The sequence below is a fragment of the Homo sapiens genome, chromosome 18, assembly GCF_000001405.40.
Source record: "Homo sapiens chromosome 18, GRCh38.p14 Primary Assembly".
NCBI classification, from domain to species: Eukaryota; Metazoa; Chordata; class Mammalia; order Primates; family Hominidae; genus Homo; species Homo sapiens.
This window is the reverse complement of record NC_000018.10, coordinates 26,444,709-26,462,892: the sequence shown is the minus strand read 5'-3', so window position 1 is coordinate 26,462,892 and position 18,184 is coordinate 26,444,709. Positions and strand designations below refer to the sequence as shown.

Genomic DNA, 18,184 nt, shown 5'->3' with positions numbered 1-18,184 from the left:
TAAGGAAAGATTTCAGAAAATTCAGAGGCCTGAAGGAAATAAGCACAAGGCCAGAGAACCTAACAGAAACACACTAAACTTTAAAAACCGTGGTACTTAGAGAGTAAAGTTAAATGATCCCATTTAAGGAAGGAAAGGTTTCTAAAGACAGTAGCCAATGGGACTGACTCTGCTTTGCAGGTTCATTTCTGATGAGCTAAGACTGTAGGCGGGTGTTAGACAGGATAGAAAGACAGACACAAAGGAGCCTGCCAAGAAAATGAATGGCCAATGTGCACTTCACCGTGTGCAGAAAATGGTAACGCAGCAAGAAGGATCATTTCAGTTCTCTGGCCAGCCAGTGCTTAGAGGCAAGGCAGCATGATGAGCAGTCACCAGAGAGAAGCATGAGTGCTCAGCTGTTCTCTGTCATCTGCTCCCCGTGACATAGCAGTGGCTCTACTCTGGAGACTAGATAGAACAGCATAGTAAAGGAAAAAATGGAGCCAGGATGATCAAGAGAGAGTAAAAGAACACCTGGTGGCTTAAAGCAGTTCAGCGCTAGGCCCATGAGACTCTAGCCCAGGGGCAAGATGACCTTCATAGGAGCGCTTCTGACTCTCACTTTAATAAACCCTAGCAGGATCCCAGAGTGGTCACTGAGCAGGGCCAAAAATCTGAAAAGGGCCAGTGTTTCTCGACTTTTCCAAGAGTGGGTAACAATGAATTGGAGCAACATTATGTTGTGAGCCTCACTGCCCATCCAGGGCCAGACCTCAGAGTGGATTATTAAACAAGTGGCTTGTGAACCTAGAAGGAAGAAAAGATGGTGAGAACTCAGGGTCAGCATGGGGAGGACTTCTAACCCCAAGTCCTTCCTGTTAGCTTCATTCACTTTGGACACATTGGGAGATCAGGGCTTTGTCCGCCACCATGCCCGGCTAATTTTTTGTATTTTTAGTAGAGACGGGGTTTCGTCATGTTGGCCAGGCTGGTCTCAAGACTCCTGACCTCAGATAATCCACCTGCCTCGGCCTCCCAAAGTGCTGGGATTACAGGCGTGAACCACCACGCCCAGCCGATAAGATATTTTCACTGGAGTCTAGATCCTTCCTTGTGCTAAGTTTTGTAATTAAATCTCACAAGAAAATAAAAAGCAATAGCATAAGTTCTCGCTTCTCTTGCTTGTGTAACTCTCATTGCTGTTTAAAATCTCCTTGGTAAATAAGTGTTTAGGTCAGTATCTTACAGTTGGCGTGATGCCAAGATGACAAAGCCCCAGAGTGGGGATCCCAGGTAGAACCAGGAGGAACCTGCAGAGGCTTCCCCACTCCTACCCCTCAGGCTGGGCTAAGGGCCCCGGTTCTGCCCTGTCTTAAGAGTGGCCACACCTCAGCCTAGTTTTCAGCTCCTTAAAGCAAAACAGTATCTCCTCTGGGTCAGGAGGCTAAGCAGGTAGAACATGTGCAAGGAAGATTTTCAGAGCAGTGGGCTCCTTTCCTGCAGGGAACCAAGACTCCTGTGGTAAGGGGGTTGCCAGGAAAAGGACAGAATAAAGCAGCAGCCCATTCCACTGAGATGAGTGTCGTCATCAGCATCTTCTACCTGATCTGAGTTTCTTTATATGGAAAGTGGATTACCCAGCTAAAGACCCCCAAGTACTGTCATCTCTCCATGCTGTTTTCTCTGGAAGCGTTGAATAATGCCGCTACAGCTGCTGCTGCTATTGCTTGATTTGCAAGAGAAAGAGCAAAGTGCAAAATAAAAATATTTATCCCATGGTCATCTTGTGCTTCTCATACTCTAGCCCATCTGGACATCAGGGGCCTCTTTGAGGCACTCGGACCACATGTTTGCAACATTGGCTGTCATGCAGGCACTGGGCATCCCCTGCCAGCTCTTGCCCATGGACGGAAGGCACAAATGCCTGTGTCAGCTGATTAAAATGTTCTCAGTCAACATGTCTAGACAAGTATCCACTTATCTTACACCCAGAAATGATTGTGGCCATAGCTACGTTTAGCCATAACATTGACCTGCTTGTTAACATTGTTCCTGAGTTGCTGCCTCCCCCTCATTCTCTTTTGTCTTCCCATTCAGTGGCTTATGTGTGTGTTTTAATACCTGTTTTGTTAGGTTTCTGTTTCAATTCAACAGATTATTTTAAGGCTGGAGGAAAGGAAACCATGCCAAAAGACCAGGTGTTCTTGCTTTCAGAAATGCAGAAATGGACAGGTTTTCTTTATTGCACATCTTGCAGGAGTCGAGGCCTAAAGTTGTTTATGTCTCTGACTCTATGATGGCAGCTCCATCAGGTGGCACAGGGCAGTACACTAGCCTTCCAGCTGTCCACCAGCCTCCCCCAAACCATCACAAATCAACACCTAGGTTCAAGTAAAAGCCACATGCCTGCCCTCCAGGTGCCCATCCCTGCCTGTCTCTAGCCTCATATCTCTGTCCCACACCCTCCTGTGGCCACCAAAGGTGACCGGGAGCTTCTGATGAAGGGTGCCCATTGGCAAGCTTATGCCTCCCCTTGGTCAATATATGCGTTCCATCCAAGAGGATAGAAATTGGGTTCTCACCGACACAATCAAACTTGAAATACCCAAAGACATTTTTTCTACTAAAAGAAACAAGTCTTGGGTGAATCCTTTCACATCTCAGTTTTCTCATCTGCAAAATGGGAATAATAGTGGTTCCTAATTCACTGGGCATTGACGAGGGTTACAGGATTTAAATCATGTAAAGCACTTAGAAGAGGCCTGACCAGCCCTAATCTACTCAGCTCCTTTTATCTTCACTGAATGAATGAATGAATGAATGAATGCAAATTGAGCCTCTACAAACATGTCGTAAGTGAAAAACGCACATGCAGATTTGATTAGTGACATAACAAGAAGTGGAAAAAAATCACCTCTTAGATGTGGACATGTTTAGTACTTTATGTTTGCAGTTTGCACTGTGAAATACCTTTTTTTTTTCCAGGACTACACTTTGTTATATGAAGAGGCAAAATATTTTCAGCTTCAGCCCATGTTGTTGGAGATGGAAAGATGGAAGCAGGACAGAGAAACTGGTCGATTTTCAAGGCCCTGTGAGTGCCTCGTCGTGCGTGTGGCCCCAGACCTCGGAGAAAGGATCACGCTAAGCGGTGACAAATCCTTGATAGAAGAAGTATTTCCAGAGATCGGCGACGTGATGTGTAACTCTGTCAATGCAGGCTGGAATCACGACTCGACGCACGTCATCAGGTTTCCACTAAATGGCTACTGTCACCTCAACTCAGTCCAGGTATAGCATTGTTACGCACTGTGTGGCATCAAATGCCACTCTTACTGTTGTCACTTAACCTTGCCCTCACATGGTGCCTTTCCTCCAAAGAGCTTAGAAACTCACTCAGTGACACTTCTGTTGGGTAGGTGAATTATCACCCTCTATAGCAGTCATTCCGTAAGTCTTGTGATTGTGCCAGGTGCTGGGATGAGCACTGGAGATACAGAAGAGACAGATATAGAACACGACAGCTGGGCACGGTGGCACACGCCTATAGTCCCAGCCACTCCAGAGGCTAAGGCAGGAGGATCACTTGAGCCCAGGAGTTCAGGTTCAGCCTGGGCAACATAGTGAGACAGACAGACACAGAACACGATGGACAGCTCTGTGTTCATGGAACTGCATTATGGGAGTGGAGTGGGAGGCAAACAGTCAACATAAATATATTGCCCAGGAGGTGGTAAGTGGATTTCTGGGGCAGAGTATGCTGGCATATTGAGGACTATCAGGAAAGCCAGTTTGGCTTGAAGAAAGTGACTCAGGGAGAGAGAGTACCCAGACAGGAGGCCCGGGAAAATCAGGGACAGATCACGGAGAGCCTCGTTAGGAGGTGGCAAGTGCCCTAGGATTGTTTATTTTGGCATCTTTTGGTTTTGGTTCGTTTGTGTATGTGAGCCAAATGGAAATCCATTGGAGGGTTTTGAGCAGAAGGGAGAACTGACAGAACTCGTATTTTAAAGTGAACATTGCGACAGCAGCTAGAGAATAGGAGAAACAAGGAGACCAGGCAGCAAGCTGTGGTTCAAGCAGCTGAAAAGTGTCCAGTTGTGTGTGTCTGGAGGGTAGAGCTAATAAGGTTTTCTGACGATGGCTGTGGGTTGTGAGACATAAGCCCGGGATGACTAAGATTTTTGACAGAGGAACTGGGTGAGTGGAACTGCCATTTCCTGAGATGGAGAAGTGTAGGGGAGCAAGAGATGTGGGGGTGGAATTGAGAACTCAGAGGCTAATGTGTGCTGAGCACCGACTCTCTGCCCTACCCTGGGCCATGGCCTGAGCATGTGTTGTCTTCTTACAACCCTAACAGGTAAGCACTGTTAATCCTCTCTGTCTTGCTGATGGGAAGGCAGAGGCACACCTGGGTCTCGATTCCAGCTCCGTGTGACACAAAACCATTTGAAGTCAATGGAGTGAGGGTTCTAGTTTTTTCCCTCTTTTTAACTGGAATGGGCCCATGACTTTGTTCAGTATTTAGTCAGCAGAACCCTTCCCAAAGCACAGAGACTAGAAGCACCCACTCTTCTGTGCTGCCTCTTGAGGATTGTTCCACTACTATTTATAACTCTTTAAAATATATGAACAGATGTCTGAGAACAGAAGAGCAGAAAACTGGCAGAAAATGTTCCCTAAGCATGCTAGCGGAAGGCACATGCTCCCAGGCGGCGGGCTGGCTGCTGGGTCGCAGGGTTCCCGAGGACGAGATTCGCGTTCTCACCTGTGCGGAGAGCGTCCCCTGGAGGTGTGTGGTGCTCCCGCATGGCCCTGCACAGCGTTCCTGAGACGGCCTCAGCAGTTTAAGCCTCTTTAAAGCCCAGAAAGCCTGTCCCCTTCCACACAACAGCCTGCCCTGGCTATCACTGGAGCAGACAGAGGGGCAGAACCATTCAGAGCCAGGACAGGAAGGCCTCGGCCACACCTTTGGGCCAGTGAATAACGATCATCAATTCATGTGCTTGACAGTTTCCCACATCAGATATGGAAATTTTCATCTGGATTAACGTGGTCATATGACACAGCCATGACCTACCCTTGCGTCCTGCTCCACCGACCAAGAAATAGGCACCAGCCTATGGGCACGCAGAGACTCTGGGATAAGGCTTACGACACCCGATACCTCACTAAGTTGTTGTGTGATCACTGTTTAAGGAACTTTGCTGTGAACGTGTTGTTGTTTCCAAAGTAATGGCTCCATCAGCTGTTTGCATTACATTGAAATAAGCTTTTGACCACATCCAAGGTAACATTGGATCACATTGAATAATTATCACATGATGCCTATCGGACTCCGAAGAAGAGCTTAGCGATTTCCTCCTGTTAGCATTTAGTGACCTTAAGACTCAAAGAAAAATGGACATCAGGGTTAGGTTCTCTGCTGTTCATGGCTTCCTCCCCTTTGGATTTCCTCTCCTAATCATGGCAAGGGATCTTTTCCAGGGTGCTGGTTTGGCCAAGCAAGCTGGGATGCCTCTTGCTGAGGGCTGCATTCCTGCCTCTGCTGGGGAATCCATGGAGGGAGCTGTTCTTCGTCTTTGTATTTACCTGCCACCAAAGCACATCTTGATTTTGAATTTAGGGATTGTTTTCTTCCTGTCCTTATGCTGACAGGTATGCATATGCATTGTGAATTTACCTACAGAAATAGAGCACTGCTGGGTAGAATGTTAATTTTGTTCTTATAAGGACTTGTGTATGTTTTTTTAATTTGCCAGCACTTGAGGTTTTAATTAATTTTTAGAAAACATACTCTCTTGCTTTCCCATCTCATCTAGTAAGCTGTTTTGCAACATAGCAGACTATATTCTATATTGAAGTAGGCAACTAAAAAATAATACTTTTTAAAAAAGTAAGGATTCACTTTACATTGACTACATTTCAGTTCATTCCAATAAAAGTTTTTTTGAGGTGGGTTTTTTTGTTTTGTTTTTTTTTTTTAAGTTATGATTGAATCACTTTGCCTTTAAGGTGGTGTGGAAGTAATTTAATTATATTCAGAACTCGGGCAGGAAACATTTGCAAGTCTAATATTTGTTGGATTCCTAAAGAAACAGAATGCTCCAGATCAGTTTCCTGTATTTTTGTCTATCTAATCTAAGAGTCACAGGTACTGTTTCCTGCATTTAACAGTGTCAGACATGTAGTGCCAAACCCAGGAATCTTGCTGGCGTTAGGTTTTTGATTTCAAAATTAAGGAACAGATTCTATGGCTTACATTTGTATAAGAAGTTTAGAATATCTTTATTTTTCTTACATTTTCTAATATGTAATCATTGTGCTGGTTCTTGTCTCCTTGAATGAATGCAGGGCAATAAATCTGTTTCAGATGTTACAAACTTGAAAACCTGTAGATAATCCTCTAGTGTCTTCAGTAATCCCTTTGTTCTGCTATTGAAATTACATCAATCTTCCAGGCCAAAACATATATATTAACTCGGTATTAGGAAAACTTGAACAAAGGCGGAGTTGAGAGTACAAATGAATCACTGACTAAGTAAACTCTGCCATCACTGTCCTTTCCAGATTCTTTATCATCTCATAGGATGTATTTTAGTGATAAATGAGCTTTGAAATGTGAACCCTCATTTTTGACAGAGAGGGCAGCATTGCATATACAAAAACAGGAGATTTGAGGCCAAACAGACCTGAGTTGGAAACCCAGTCCCATCACTGACTAGCCATGAACCTCAGTTTTCTCATTTATAAAATGGGCCTAACACCATCGAGTGTTGTAGCTGGTGTGTGTAAAGCAAGCATGAAAGGCACATTTTAGGCATTAGAAATGCTTGCTTCCTCTCTCCTGCCCATTAATCCAGGGTCTTCCTTTGAGAGGAGCAGCTCACAGGGACATGGGTGCTGGATGAGATGAACCAGAGTGCGCATAATCTCAAACTTTGGGGTGTTTATGTAGCCATAGGACTTACCTCACCCCTAACTGGATGCTTGTCTTGTTCCCTCGCAGGTCCTCGAGAGGTTGCAGCAAAGAGGATTTGAAATCGTGGGCTCCTGTGGGGGAGGAGTAGACTCGTCCCAGTTCAGCGAATACGTCCTTCGGCGGGAACTGAGGCGGACGCCCCGTGTACCCTCCGTCATCCGGATAAAGCAAGAGCCTCTGGACTAAATGGACATATTTCTTATGCAAAAAGGAAAACACACACAACCAATAACTCAAACAAAAAAGGGACATTTATGTGCAGTTGGGACAGCAAACCAAGTCCTGGACGTAAAATCGAATAAAAGACACATTTATATCCAATAGAGACCACACCTGTATTCATATGGGAACAATTGGAATAGTGATATCCTCAAGGTGTAAAAAATATATAAATATATATATATATGTCAAAAGGTAGGAAATGCAAAAAAGAAAAAAAAAAAAGGTGACAGCCGCAGTTGGTGCTGTGATGGCCGTGAAGTGTCCTGGGCCTTCCGAGGCCTCTGACAAATAAACAAGCCATGAGTGGTGAGGACACAGTCTCCTTACAGTTTCCATTGCCAACAACAGCCATCCATATTTCTTTTTTCCTTTGTCTTTCTTTTTCCTTTTTTTTTAAAAAAACAAAACAAACAAAACACCTTGAATCAAGTTTGTTTGTATATGGAGGTTCCACGTCTTTCTTTAGGCAGGGACCAGGCAGGACTTCAGAAAAACCCTCATGAGCACATTGCAAAGATGTTAGACATGAAATTTTAAATGTAGTTTGTACAGAAGTCACACTTTTTTGTCCACCTCACAGATGTGAACTTTACTTTGTTTTAAAACTGATCAGTTTTGCCAAGGGGCCAGAATTATTCCTTGTTAGAATTGCTCCAGTTCAAGTCTGCTGCTTTCCTACAATTTTTCAAATTTTATAATGTATTAAATACAATAAACTCTGTTTAAAAAATAAGGTCTGTGTGAAACACACATGTGGGGGTGAGGCTGGATTAAAGTGAAATTTTTTCTTTTTGAAATTGTCCGTGTTGAGCATCAAAAAGAGGCATGAAAGCCGGGGTCAGTTTTGAAGTCAAAACCTACTAAAGGCTAAGGATGTCATCACCTGTTCCAGACAGTTGTCTTCCGACCCAGCAAATGTTATTTCCTGTGCTTTGTTATTCTGCATTGGTCAGCAAGGTAAATCTTCCTTCTTACGGACTTTTCGGTTACACCTATTTCAGTTATCTGGCTGCAGAGCAAGTCACACCAAAATTTAATGGCTTAAAACATTTTGTTCTGGCCTGTGATACTGGCCTTCGCTGGGCTGCATCTGCTCCATGTCTGCTCCACTGCTCCAATCCAGGGGTCTGATTGGCGTGGAATGTCCTAGATGGCTCACCCAGATGGCTGCAAATACTTGGCTGTTGGCCTCTATGTGGCTTGGGCCCCTCTCAACATGGTAAGTGGATTCCAAGAAGGAGGCAGAGAAAGCCACAGTTCTCTAAAAGCCTGGGCCCCGGACTGCACAGTACACTTCTGCTGCTTTCTGTTGGTTGAACAGCCACACGGCCAGCCCAGACTCAATGAGGGGGAAATAAGAACCTCCTGTTGGGGAAAGTAACAAAGCATTTGTGACCAACTTCAGTCTACCATAACACCTGTCCAAAGCATCTTAAAAGTAGGGCATTATGGCTTTGGAAGAAGTAGGGAACATCTCAGAGCCAGAACTATCAATCATTTTATTACTAGCCAGAGAAGTAAAAAACCTGAGATTTCAACAGCACTTTAGAATGAAGTCCTCAGCTTTTCCAAGGTATTAGTGACCCTGATTCCTCCATCGGCCCTACACCCACCTTTCTTCCCTCCTCTTCCTCATTCCAGACACTCAAAATAAATCTGGCATGCTGGTAAGATTGACAGGTAAACTAGAATGTGTTTCTGGTGCAGAGATATTCCTGTGGTGATGGGTTATTTCCATCCTGAACTTACTTTCTTTTTTTAAATTAAAAAGTGTATGCCTGAGGACACTAGTAATGAAAATATCTCTGGCTTCTGAAACTAAAAGTGAGCTGTTAATGGCTCCTATCACTGCCTGAAACACAGGCAGCCCAAACACTGAATTACTTTAATGACGGCTAGCCAGGCTTCCACATTGCTGCGTAATTTCCCTATTTGAGACTAATACACCACTCTCTCAGATGGGGACAGACAGGGCTGCTCCCACCAGCTGCTCGGTCATCCATGTCTTACTGAAAGGAGAATAAAATTGCTCTATGATTTACTAGCAATCCATTCTCATTAGGCAGAATTTCCTCAAAACAATAATGCAAGGGCCTCACTTTGGGACTCTGCTGGTTATTGTCATCAGTTAATGTTTACCCAGGACTGCCTATGTGCAGTTAGCATTGTCCCAACCAAATACTGCACAGAATGGTGTGCATTGGCTACTGGCATCCACTTTGTTCTTTTCTAAGTTCTTCGGTCCATTTATATGACTGCATCCCAGTTGCACATTGTTTCTACAAAAACTCTGATCCAGTTCAATGGAGCAAACATTTCACTTGTAATGTTGACCTTTTTAGGTCTTGAAACATGTAGATTCCCAGATACCAAAATACTTTAGGAAAGAGTAGGTCAATCAAAATGTCAAAATATAATTGAATCACCACTTTTTTCTTTTCTTTTCTTTTCTTTTTGAGACAGGGTCTCACTCTGTCACCTAGGCTGGAATGCAGTGGCACAATCTTGGCTCACTACAACCTCCACCTCCTGGGTTCAAGTGATTCTCCCACCTCAGCCTCCCAAATAGCTGGGACTACAGGCATGTGCCACCACACCCAGCTAATTATTATTATTATTATTATTATTATTATTTTTGGTAGAGACGGGTTTCACCATGTTGGCCAGGCTTGATCTTGAACTCCTGACCTCAAGTGATCCACCCCCGTTGGCCTCCCAAAGTGCTGGGATTACAGGCGTGAATGAATCACAATCTTATTTTTCACTACTTTTTATTATTCAATATAAAGTTCATATTCAAACTTCGCCAGTGTCCCCAAAAGGATCTTTATAGCTGTGCTTTTCACCTAGAGGATCTGATCAAGGATTATGCATTGCATTTATTAATAATACCCCCCACACCTTCCTTTTTTTTTTGGAGGCGGAGGGGTCTTTCCATGACATCGACTTATTGGAAGAGTCTAGGTCAACTGTTTTGTAGATTGTTGCACAATTTGGATTTGTCTGATTTGTCCCTCACTGGTAGAGTCAGGTTTTTTGGTTTCAAGAATACTACATAGGTGATATCATGTCCTCAGTGAATTATATCACAAGACTCAGTTTGACCCATATTAGTAATGGCAGTTTTGGCCTCTTGGTTAAAGTAACATTCACCAAATTATCCAGTGTAAAGGTAGCTTTTTCTTTTTGTAATTAATGATTACCTGTGGGATGACACTATGAGACTATAAATATCCTGTTTCTCAACACACTCTCACCAGATGGTTTTAACATCCATTGGTAATCCTTTCCTGAATCAATCATTACCTTGGTAGCTATAAAAGTTTGCTTTTTAAAAAGCCACTGTTGGCCGTGCACGGTGGCTCACGCCTGTAATCCCAGCACTTTGGGAGGCCGAGGTGGGTGGATCATGAGGTCAAGAGATCGAGACCATCCTGACCAACAGGGTGAAACCCTGTCTCTACTAAAAATACACAAATTAGCTGGGCGTGGTGGCACGTGCCTGTAGTCCCAGCTACTTGAGAGGCTGAGGTAGGAGAATCATTTGAACCCAGGAGGTGGAGGTTGCAGTGAGCCAAGATCGCACTGCTGCACTCCGGCCCAGGCGACAGAGCAAGACTATCTCAAAGCCACTGTTGCCTGAATCTTTGATAGTTGAAATAATCTTTTTTTTTTTCTTTAGCAAAATATATTTCTTTAGTCTAGGGCAGACAAGCTACACTATTTGACCTGCTCTTTTCTAAGAAGTATTTTAGAAAACTAGAATAAGGCAAGCCACTTATAAATTGGTTCCAAATATTAGATGAGGAGTTTCTCCATAATAATAATAGTCATCCATTTAGTGTTTGCTGTGTGCCAGACCCATACTGAGCACTTTACCTGTTAACTCATTCAATCCTTATGACCACACTGGAGGTTGTATTATCCATCTCTATTTCTTGGTTAAAGTAACTAAGAACCTAAGACATCAAATAAAGGATATGATAAAGGCTAATGTTTGATTAAGTTTTATAAAGAGGACCCAAAACAACTATTTAAGAAAAAGTAAGTTTTTATGTTGCAATAGGAGGAAGGAGTAGATTATTAGTTAATAGCATTTTCTCCTTATAACGGAAATGCACTCCTATAGTTAAGTATTTTGACCATCTTCTTCAGTATGTTGGGCACTTGGCTTTGCTGATACTAGGGCGACCATGACATGGTTTCCGCTGTGGGTTTCCGGGGAGTGAGAGGAGCGGGGCTCTCTGCACATCTAGAGGTGAATTAAGGTATGTGCATACCTAACTACTGTCCAAGGCACAATGGAATATGTGTCATTTCATATTTACAAACCAAGGATTCTAGAAATGCCCAATCATATGGGATCATATCTAGTCTGGGAAATTAGAAAAACCATCCTTTGGGGAGGTGGCGCTTGCAAGATGGGTAGGCTTTGCAAGGAAGGAGTATTTGGGGGTGGGGCAGAGGCTCTGAGCTGGAGAAGCACAAGGCAGGGTCAGCACATGGTGTGGGACGAGGGAAGCATGGGCTAGAAAAGGAAGGTGGAATTGGATTTTGGGAGTGTGAGAGGGGAGCTGATCTTGACTGCCAGACAAGGATTTGGACTTTATTTAGGAACCATTGGAGAATCACAGAAGGTGGGCAGATACTCATTTAGGGAGTCTGCAGGCTTGACTGTCCGGGAACAGTCTGTTGGTGGGAGGGGCAGTTAAGTGGCTGTTTTCCCCATTCATCCATTCATGATGAATGAAGCAGGCTAAGAGCTGATGACATAAAGTTGTATGAGAAAATAAGACATCACCTTAGTGTTAGCGCAGCAAACTCAGATGTCTCCAAGGGCTGGGCAAGTTACATGAATCAGTAAGAGATGGCCAAACTGGAGCATTTGAAGGAGCAGCCCCTACTCAACCCCAGCAGGTTGCAGCTATAGGAGAACGGCGTCCTTCTACTTAAACATCTCATTTTTCTAGAAAACCTGGGAATCCAGACTTTTGTGTGAAATCTCTAGATGTGTAAATATTGGAGCTAACTCATTTTTTTTTCAAATGTACAGCCCAAACAAGACATCTGCAGACATAGGTGATATCATGTCCTCAGTGAATTATATCACAAGACTCAGTTTGACCCATATTAGTAATGGCAGTTTTGGCCTCTTGGTTAAAGTAACATTCACCAAATTATCCAGTGTAAAGGTAGCTTTTTCTTTTTGTAATTAATGATTACCTGTGGGATGACACTATGAGACTATAAATATCCTGTTTATATTTTGCAACTCTGAGAGTTATGAAATAAAAGAATTTTAGACACTCTAGAAAAATTCCATTTGGGTGGGATTGCATGTGAGATCACAAAAACTAAGTTGATCGAGGACATACTTTATAAAAAATGAAAATTTGATGCAAATTTTTAGTTTGATTTGATAATATCTTCTGATAACAAAGAACAACACTTATTCACATACACATACACCAGGTCTGAATAATACTTTGAACTCAACTCTTTCTCCTTTTCCAACCCATGCAAAAAATGAGCTTGCTGTCATTGGCAGCTGCAGTGTGCTCCATTGTAAGACACTAGACAAAAATGTCATTGCAGTAACTATTAGTAGGAATCTACTGGTAGGAATTACTAATAACATTTGTGACCGACTAATATTCATATATAGGACTAAAACCCTGAGAATATGCATTGTGTCTGACTTTGTCACTGTCGGGCAGCTCTTTTCCATAAAAGTTGATCATAGGTTCTATCAGTGATTTCCAAACTTGCCTGTTCTTAAGACACACAAAAGGCATGTTTTTAAGTTATAATTCCAGCCCACCACCACCCCGCCACCCCATCTCCCCATAGATTTCTGAATTCCACTTTTTTTTTGAGATGGAATCTCACTCTGTCACCCAGGCTGGAGTGCAGTGGCGCGATCTCAGCTCACTACAACCTCCGCCTCCTGGGTTCAAGTGATTCTCCTGCCTCAGCCTCCTGAGTAGCTGGGATTACAAGCGCCCGCCACCATGCCCAGCTAATTTTTTTGTATTTTTAGACGGGTTTTTGCCATGTTGGCCAGGCTGGTCTCGAACTTCTGCCCTCATATGATGTGCCCACCACGGCCTCCCAAAGTGCTGGGATTACAGGCGTGAGCCAGCATGCCCAGTCTGAATTCCACTTTGTAAGTGAAGAGGCTGGGACTCCATATTTTAATAATGCCCAATACAGTGACTCTTCAGACAAGTATTAAAAACACTGGGTAACGTCATTGTGCTCCCTAGCGTAGCCTAAGAACAGTAAATAAGGATCTTCTGAGTGTGCTTTTGTGATGTGCCTTTTTATGATTTCACTGATGTAAACAATAGTTGGCATCTGCTATTCTTTTGAAGTTCAGACTGAGTACTTCCAAATGGAGTTAATGGAGGAGGTAGGGGATGTGTGTTGGGGGCGTTGCAGGGAGTACTTAAGTGACATTTAATCCAAGGGCCTTCATCCTTTCCTAATTAGGCAGAAAACTGCCCAATCCTGTGGAAATAGCCCACCAGCTACAGAATTCTTATACCTCCTCTTAAAAAGCTGTCAGAGTCTTAAGTGAACAGAAACCAGCACAGGAAGTAATTACCATAGCATCTACCACCTGTAACAATAGCCTACTGTAGGTGTATAGGTCCGTCTTTTCCCTTGTATTTTAATCTAGGTGAGTTTCTTTGAAACTTAATGATTTCAAAACTTCCGCATTTGAAGGGGAATGTAAATCGATGACCCTAACCACTGACCACAAAGCTCCCTTGCATGCGCTAAAACATTCGCGTCAGAGAGCTCAATCTGACTGCATTTCATGGGACTCCAGGTTCATTCTCTCTCCGTCTCTCCTTTTCCCCTCATTCCCAGTGTGAATCACACAGTGCTGCACTGCTCCTCCCAATCTGTTTATCAGATTGTGCTTGTCAGAAAAGGGAACAGATAGTACAAGTATTAAATTATGCTGTTGATCGGGACTGAAAAAGCCACAGAAACATGTATTGTGCGTTCCATTCAAACTTTGGAACTTGACTCGGAAAGCCTGTCCCAAAAGCTGAAGATCAAATCCTTGTCACAGAGGATCACACTCGTTGGAAAAGAAGCAAGATCAGTTGGTTAAATCCAGTTTGAGGAGGCCTTACAGGATCATCTAAAGGTCTGCAACTTGAGCAATCTGACGCAGCTGGGTTTTTAAGTTAATCAGCAGTAATGGGAAACTGGCTTGGGAAGGGGCAATGGTGGGAGGCAGATGGCTTATGTGCCCCTAAAATTTAAATGTTCATCCATTATTGCTCTTTATTTGAAATTTTTTAAAATTATTTAAGATGTTGTTCTTCTATAAGTCATATTCTTAAATGTTTGGTCTCTTAAATACATAAATACTAGAAAATTTGAAATTCTAAGTAGAATGCATATTCATGAAAATAATTCAGCTATAGCTCTTAGTTTAAGCATGGTAGATGTGTTTATAAAACAGAATTTTGACCTGTATAATCTTTTCCCTACTGCCATTACAATATCAAAATCAGTTATTTTCCTCTAGGTAGGAAAGGAATGGTAGAAAAACTACACACACACCCCAAATTCTTCTTTCCAATAGCTTCCTGCCTCTGTCCAGTCTGCAATAACACCCCTCCTCCACCATCCACTCCCCACTTTTCTTCCAAAGTTAGTCAAGTGATGGATGGAGATGACTTCTGCACAATCACTAGGAGCCTTCATGTAGATATTAAAAGCATACAAAGGGAATGACTTGCCTGGACACTGACAGGGCTGCAGGCCTGCATTGAGGTGGCCTTTCACAGGGCCCATGGAAGAGCCACAGACAATGCAAGGCCACCAGGCCACTTACTTCTCAAATTCTCACCCCAGGTGTGAATGTCTTTTTCTTGCATGTCACTGCTTTTCTCAGTCTCCTCTACTCTCCCTGCGAGATCTCAACCATCGATGGCTTTCCTGTCACCTGTGCTGCAGGCAGACGTCTCCCAGAGCTCGGGTGGGGTAGCCAGCCCTGAGGATACAAGATGAATAAGGCATGACCTTGCCATTTGACTTTTAGTCAGGCAGGAGGGTAAGCCATGTAAACCCATTGATTCAATATATTTTGTCATAAGCAATGATAGATGTAGGATCTGCCAAGCATTCCCATTGGACTATCAAGAACCGAGCTTATTTTGGCCCCTGGGCCTTTCCTTTCTCCTTTTAGATTTCCTATCTCAGTTCAGGATGCTCCTTTCTGTTCACATCAGGGAGCCATTTCTGCAATCCCCACACTTACATGGTCACCAAGTTCTACAGAACGTATCATCTAAATATTTCTTAAATTGGTCTTTTCCTTTCCACCCCTATCTCCACTTACCAATGTCATATTATCAATTCCTCCTATATGGACCATTTCCAAAGGATCTTAATTGGTTTTTCTCTTGAGAATTGAGATTGTCACCCCTTAAAATCCATCCTCCACATTGCAGCCTGGTTACTCCCCTGTTAAAAGCCTGACGGTGTTTCCTTGTTGTTTTTAGAATCATCTTCTCTCCTTAGTGTGGCATCCAAGCCCCCTTAATCTAACTCTACTTACCCCTCAGCCTCACCTGGGGCTACCCCTGGCCTCCTACAAAATACTTTTAGTGTCATATTCGGGTTTTTTTGTTTGCTGTTTTTTGTTTTGTCTTGTTTGTTTGTTTTGGAGACAGGGTCTCACTCTGTTGCCCAAACTGGAGTGCAGCAGTAGCACAATCATGGTTCCCTGCAGCCTTGACCTCCCAGGTTCAAGTGATCCTCCCACCTCAGCCTCTGAGTAGCTAGGACTTTAGGCACCCGCCACCACGCTTGGCTAATTTTGTGTATGTGTGTGTGTGTGTGTGTGTGTGTGTGTGTAGAAATGGGGTCTCATTGCCAGGTGTGGTGGCTCATGCCTGTAATCCCAGCACTTTGGGAGGCCAAGGCGGGTGGATCACAAGGTCAAGAGATCAAGACCACCCTGGCTAATATGGTGAAACCCCATCTCTACTAAAAATACAAAAATTAGCCGGGCGTGGTGACGCGTGCCTGTAATCTCAGCTACTCAGGAGGCTGAGGCAGGAGAATCGCTTGAACCCAGGAGGCGGAGGTTGCAGTGAGCCAGGATTACACCACTGCACTCCAGCCTGGCAACAGAACAAGACTCCGTCTCAAAAAAAAAAAAAAAAAAAGAAAAGAAAAGAAAGAAATGAGGTCTCACTATGTTGCCCAGGCTGGTCTCAAACTCCTGGATTTAAGCGCTCCTCCTGCCTCAGCCTCCCAAAATGATGAAATTACAGGCATGAGCCACCATGCCCTGTATGTCATATTGTTCCGAGTCTCCCTGCTTGGTAATACATTTATCTTGTTATTTGTTTAATCACTTGCCACTCATCCTTCAAGACCCTCTTTACCCATCACCACTTTTTCATGTGCTCCTCAGATGGGTGACCCATCTCTATGGTCCTAAAGCACCCGATTTATACTTTTATTATCATACTTACAACTTAATATTGAAATATCTACATGTATATGTTTACTAATCTAATGGCCATCCTTAAGATCTTCAGTGGAAGAAATCTGACTTATTTATGTCCTAGCACCTAGTAAGTGCTAACTAAATGATTGTCGATGACAGATGAAATGCACAACTGAAGTCTATTATTTGTAGAACTAGGCAGAGTATGGGTTTCATGTTCCTTACTCCAACTCTTAGAGAACTTATTTCTATTCATAAGCACTCAATTAAATAAGAATTAATGTAAAGTATAATAACTGACATACAATAGAGAATCAATTACTAGTAATATTAAATCCCTCAAGCACTTTGGTTCTTTTGATGTTTACTTTGGATTTTGACTAATCTAAAGTCATTCAAGTGTTCCACATTTGGCCAATATGAAGTAACAGATTACTCTCCCTCCTGAAACAACTCACAAACTGGACAGCATATATGAAACAATGATTTTCAACACATTGAATATGAGGCAGCAGAGGACAGTGATCCCTGAGAGGTGGAAAGCAAACAAGGTGAGCCCTATGATTGCCCTGGCTAACTGCCTTGAGGAAGTTTCCAGGCCATGTTGCAGGGAGGGGTAACCCATTCAGAGGCTAATGCTTTGCCTGAGTTGAAGAGATGGAGACGGTGGTACAGGGAAGCCAAGGCAGCTAGAATTCATAGGGCAGAGCAATGGACAGGGGAGAGATACGTGCAAAAAAGAGAAGACTGAAGAACAGAAGAGACTATTCAGCTGAGTACTGATCAGTGCATGTGTTGGAAGAAATCACTCAAGCCTAGGGGAAAAGCTACATAGAAGAATAAGAGAAAGCAATCCCCATAGCCCACCCAGGACCAGAAACAGTTCCTGCTCTCAGCAGACAGAGTGGAAAGCCTCATAATGAATGGGGCATTGGTTAGAGTCCTCAGAATGCCAGAGTGCTGGAGGGAAATGAGCCCTAGACTAAACACAGCTCAGATCTTACCTAACAAAGCTTAAAAGCAAATCCCAAAAGGATCAAAGTGTTTCCAATTAACTCTACTTCATTCTAAAACAAAGTCAAAAAATATTGATAGAGATACACAAATATTCAGCACCCAATAAGGTAAAATTCACAATAACTGGTCTCTAATTTTTAAAATTACCAGGCATTCAAAGAAGCAGGAAAATATAACTCATAGTAAAAAATAAAATAAAATAAATAAATCTAAACCAACCCAGAGGCCGACACAGGTGGCTCATGCCTGTAATCCCAGCACTTTGGGAGGCCAAGGTGGGTGGATCACTTAAGGCCAGGAGTTCAAGACCAGCCTGGCCAACACGGTAAAACTCTATCTCTACTAAAAATACAAAAATTAGCTGGACATGATGGTGTGTGTCTGTAATCCCAGCTACTCAGGAGGCTGAGGCAGGAGAATTGCTTGAACCCAGGAGGAGGAGGTTGCAGTGAGCTAAGATCATGCCACTACACTCCAGCCTGGGCAACAGAGCAAGA

The 18,184-nt window shown here is 43.3% G+C and overlaps 1 protein-coding gene and 1 long non-coding RNA gene across 7 annotated transcripts in view, besides 3 other annotated features; both read left to right on the top strand.

Annotated features, from left to right (window-relative positions):
- KCTD1 (potassium channel tetramerization domain containing 1) overlaps positions 1–7,983 on the top strand; it is a 202,564-nt gene extending 194,581 nt beyond the window's left edge. For all 6 annotated transcript variants that reach the window (NM_001258222.3, NM_198991.4, NM_001258221.2 and 3 more), the window contains 2 exon segments: positions 2,968–3,273; positions 6,992–7,983. In NM_001258222.3, coding sequence (NP_001245151.1) covers positions 2,968–3,273; positions 6,992–7,150 — 465 coding nt within the window. In that variant the 3' untranslated portion in view covers positions 7,151–7,983.
- Positions 1,815–1,964: an enhancer, noted in NCBI's record as "active region_13186". NCBI's record gives its function as "activates an Ori minimal core promoter by ATAC-STARR-seq in GM12878 lymphoblastoid cells {active_cell/tissue: GM12878}" and the evidence as "EXISTENCE:reporter gene assay evidence [ECO:0000049][PMID:35858748]".
- Positions 2,055–2,354: an enhancer, noted in NCBI's record as "active region_13185". NCBI's record gives its function as "activates an Ori minimal core promoter by ATAC-STARR-seq in GM12878 lymphoblastoid cells {active_cell/tissue: GM12878}" and the evidence as "EXISTENCE:reporter gene assay evidence [ECO:0000049][PMID:35858748]".
- Positions 3,924–3,993: an enhancer, noted in NCBI's record as "active region_13184". NCBI's record gives its function as "activates an Ori minimal core promoter by ATAC-STARR-seq in GM12878 lymphoblastoid cells {active_cell/tissue: GM12878}" and the evidence as "EXISTENCE:reporter gene assay evidence [ECO:0000049][PMID:35858748]".
- Positions 9,887–12,497, top strand: LOC124904274 (uncharacterized). Its single transcript, XR_007066322.1, has 2 exons — positions 9,887–10,245; positions 12,266–12,497. It is a non-coding gene; the product is annotated as an uncharacterized LOC124904274 (long non-coding RNA).
- Positions 12,498–18,184: the final 5,687 nt, after the last annotated feature.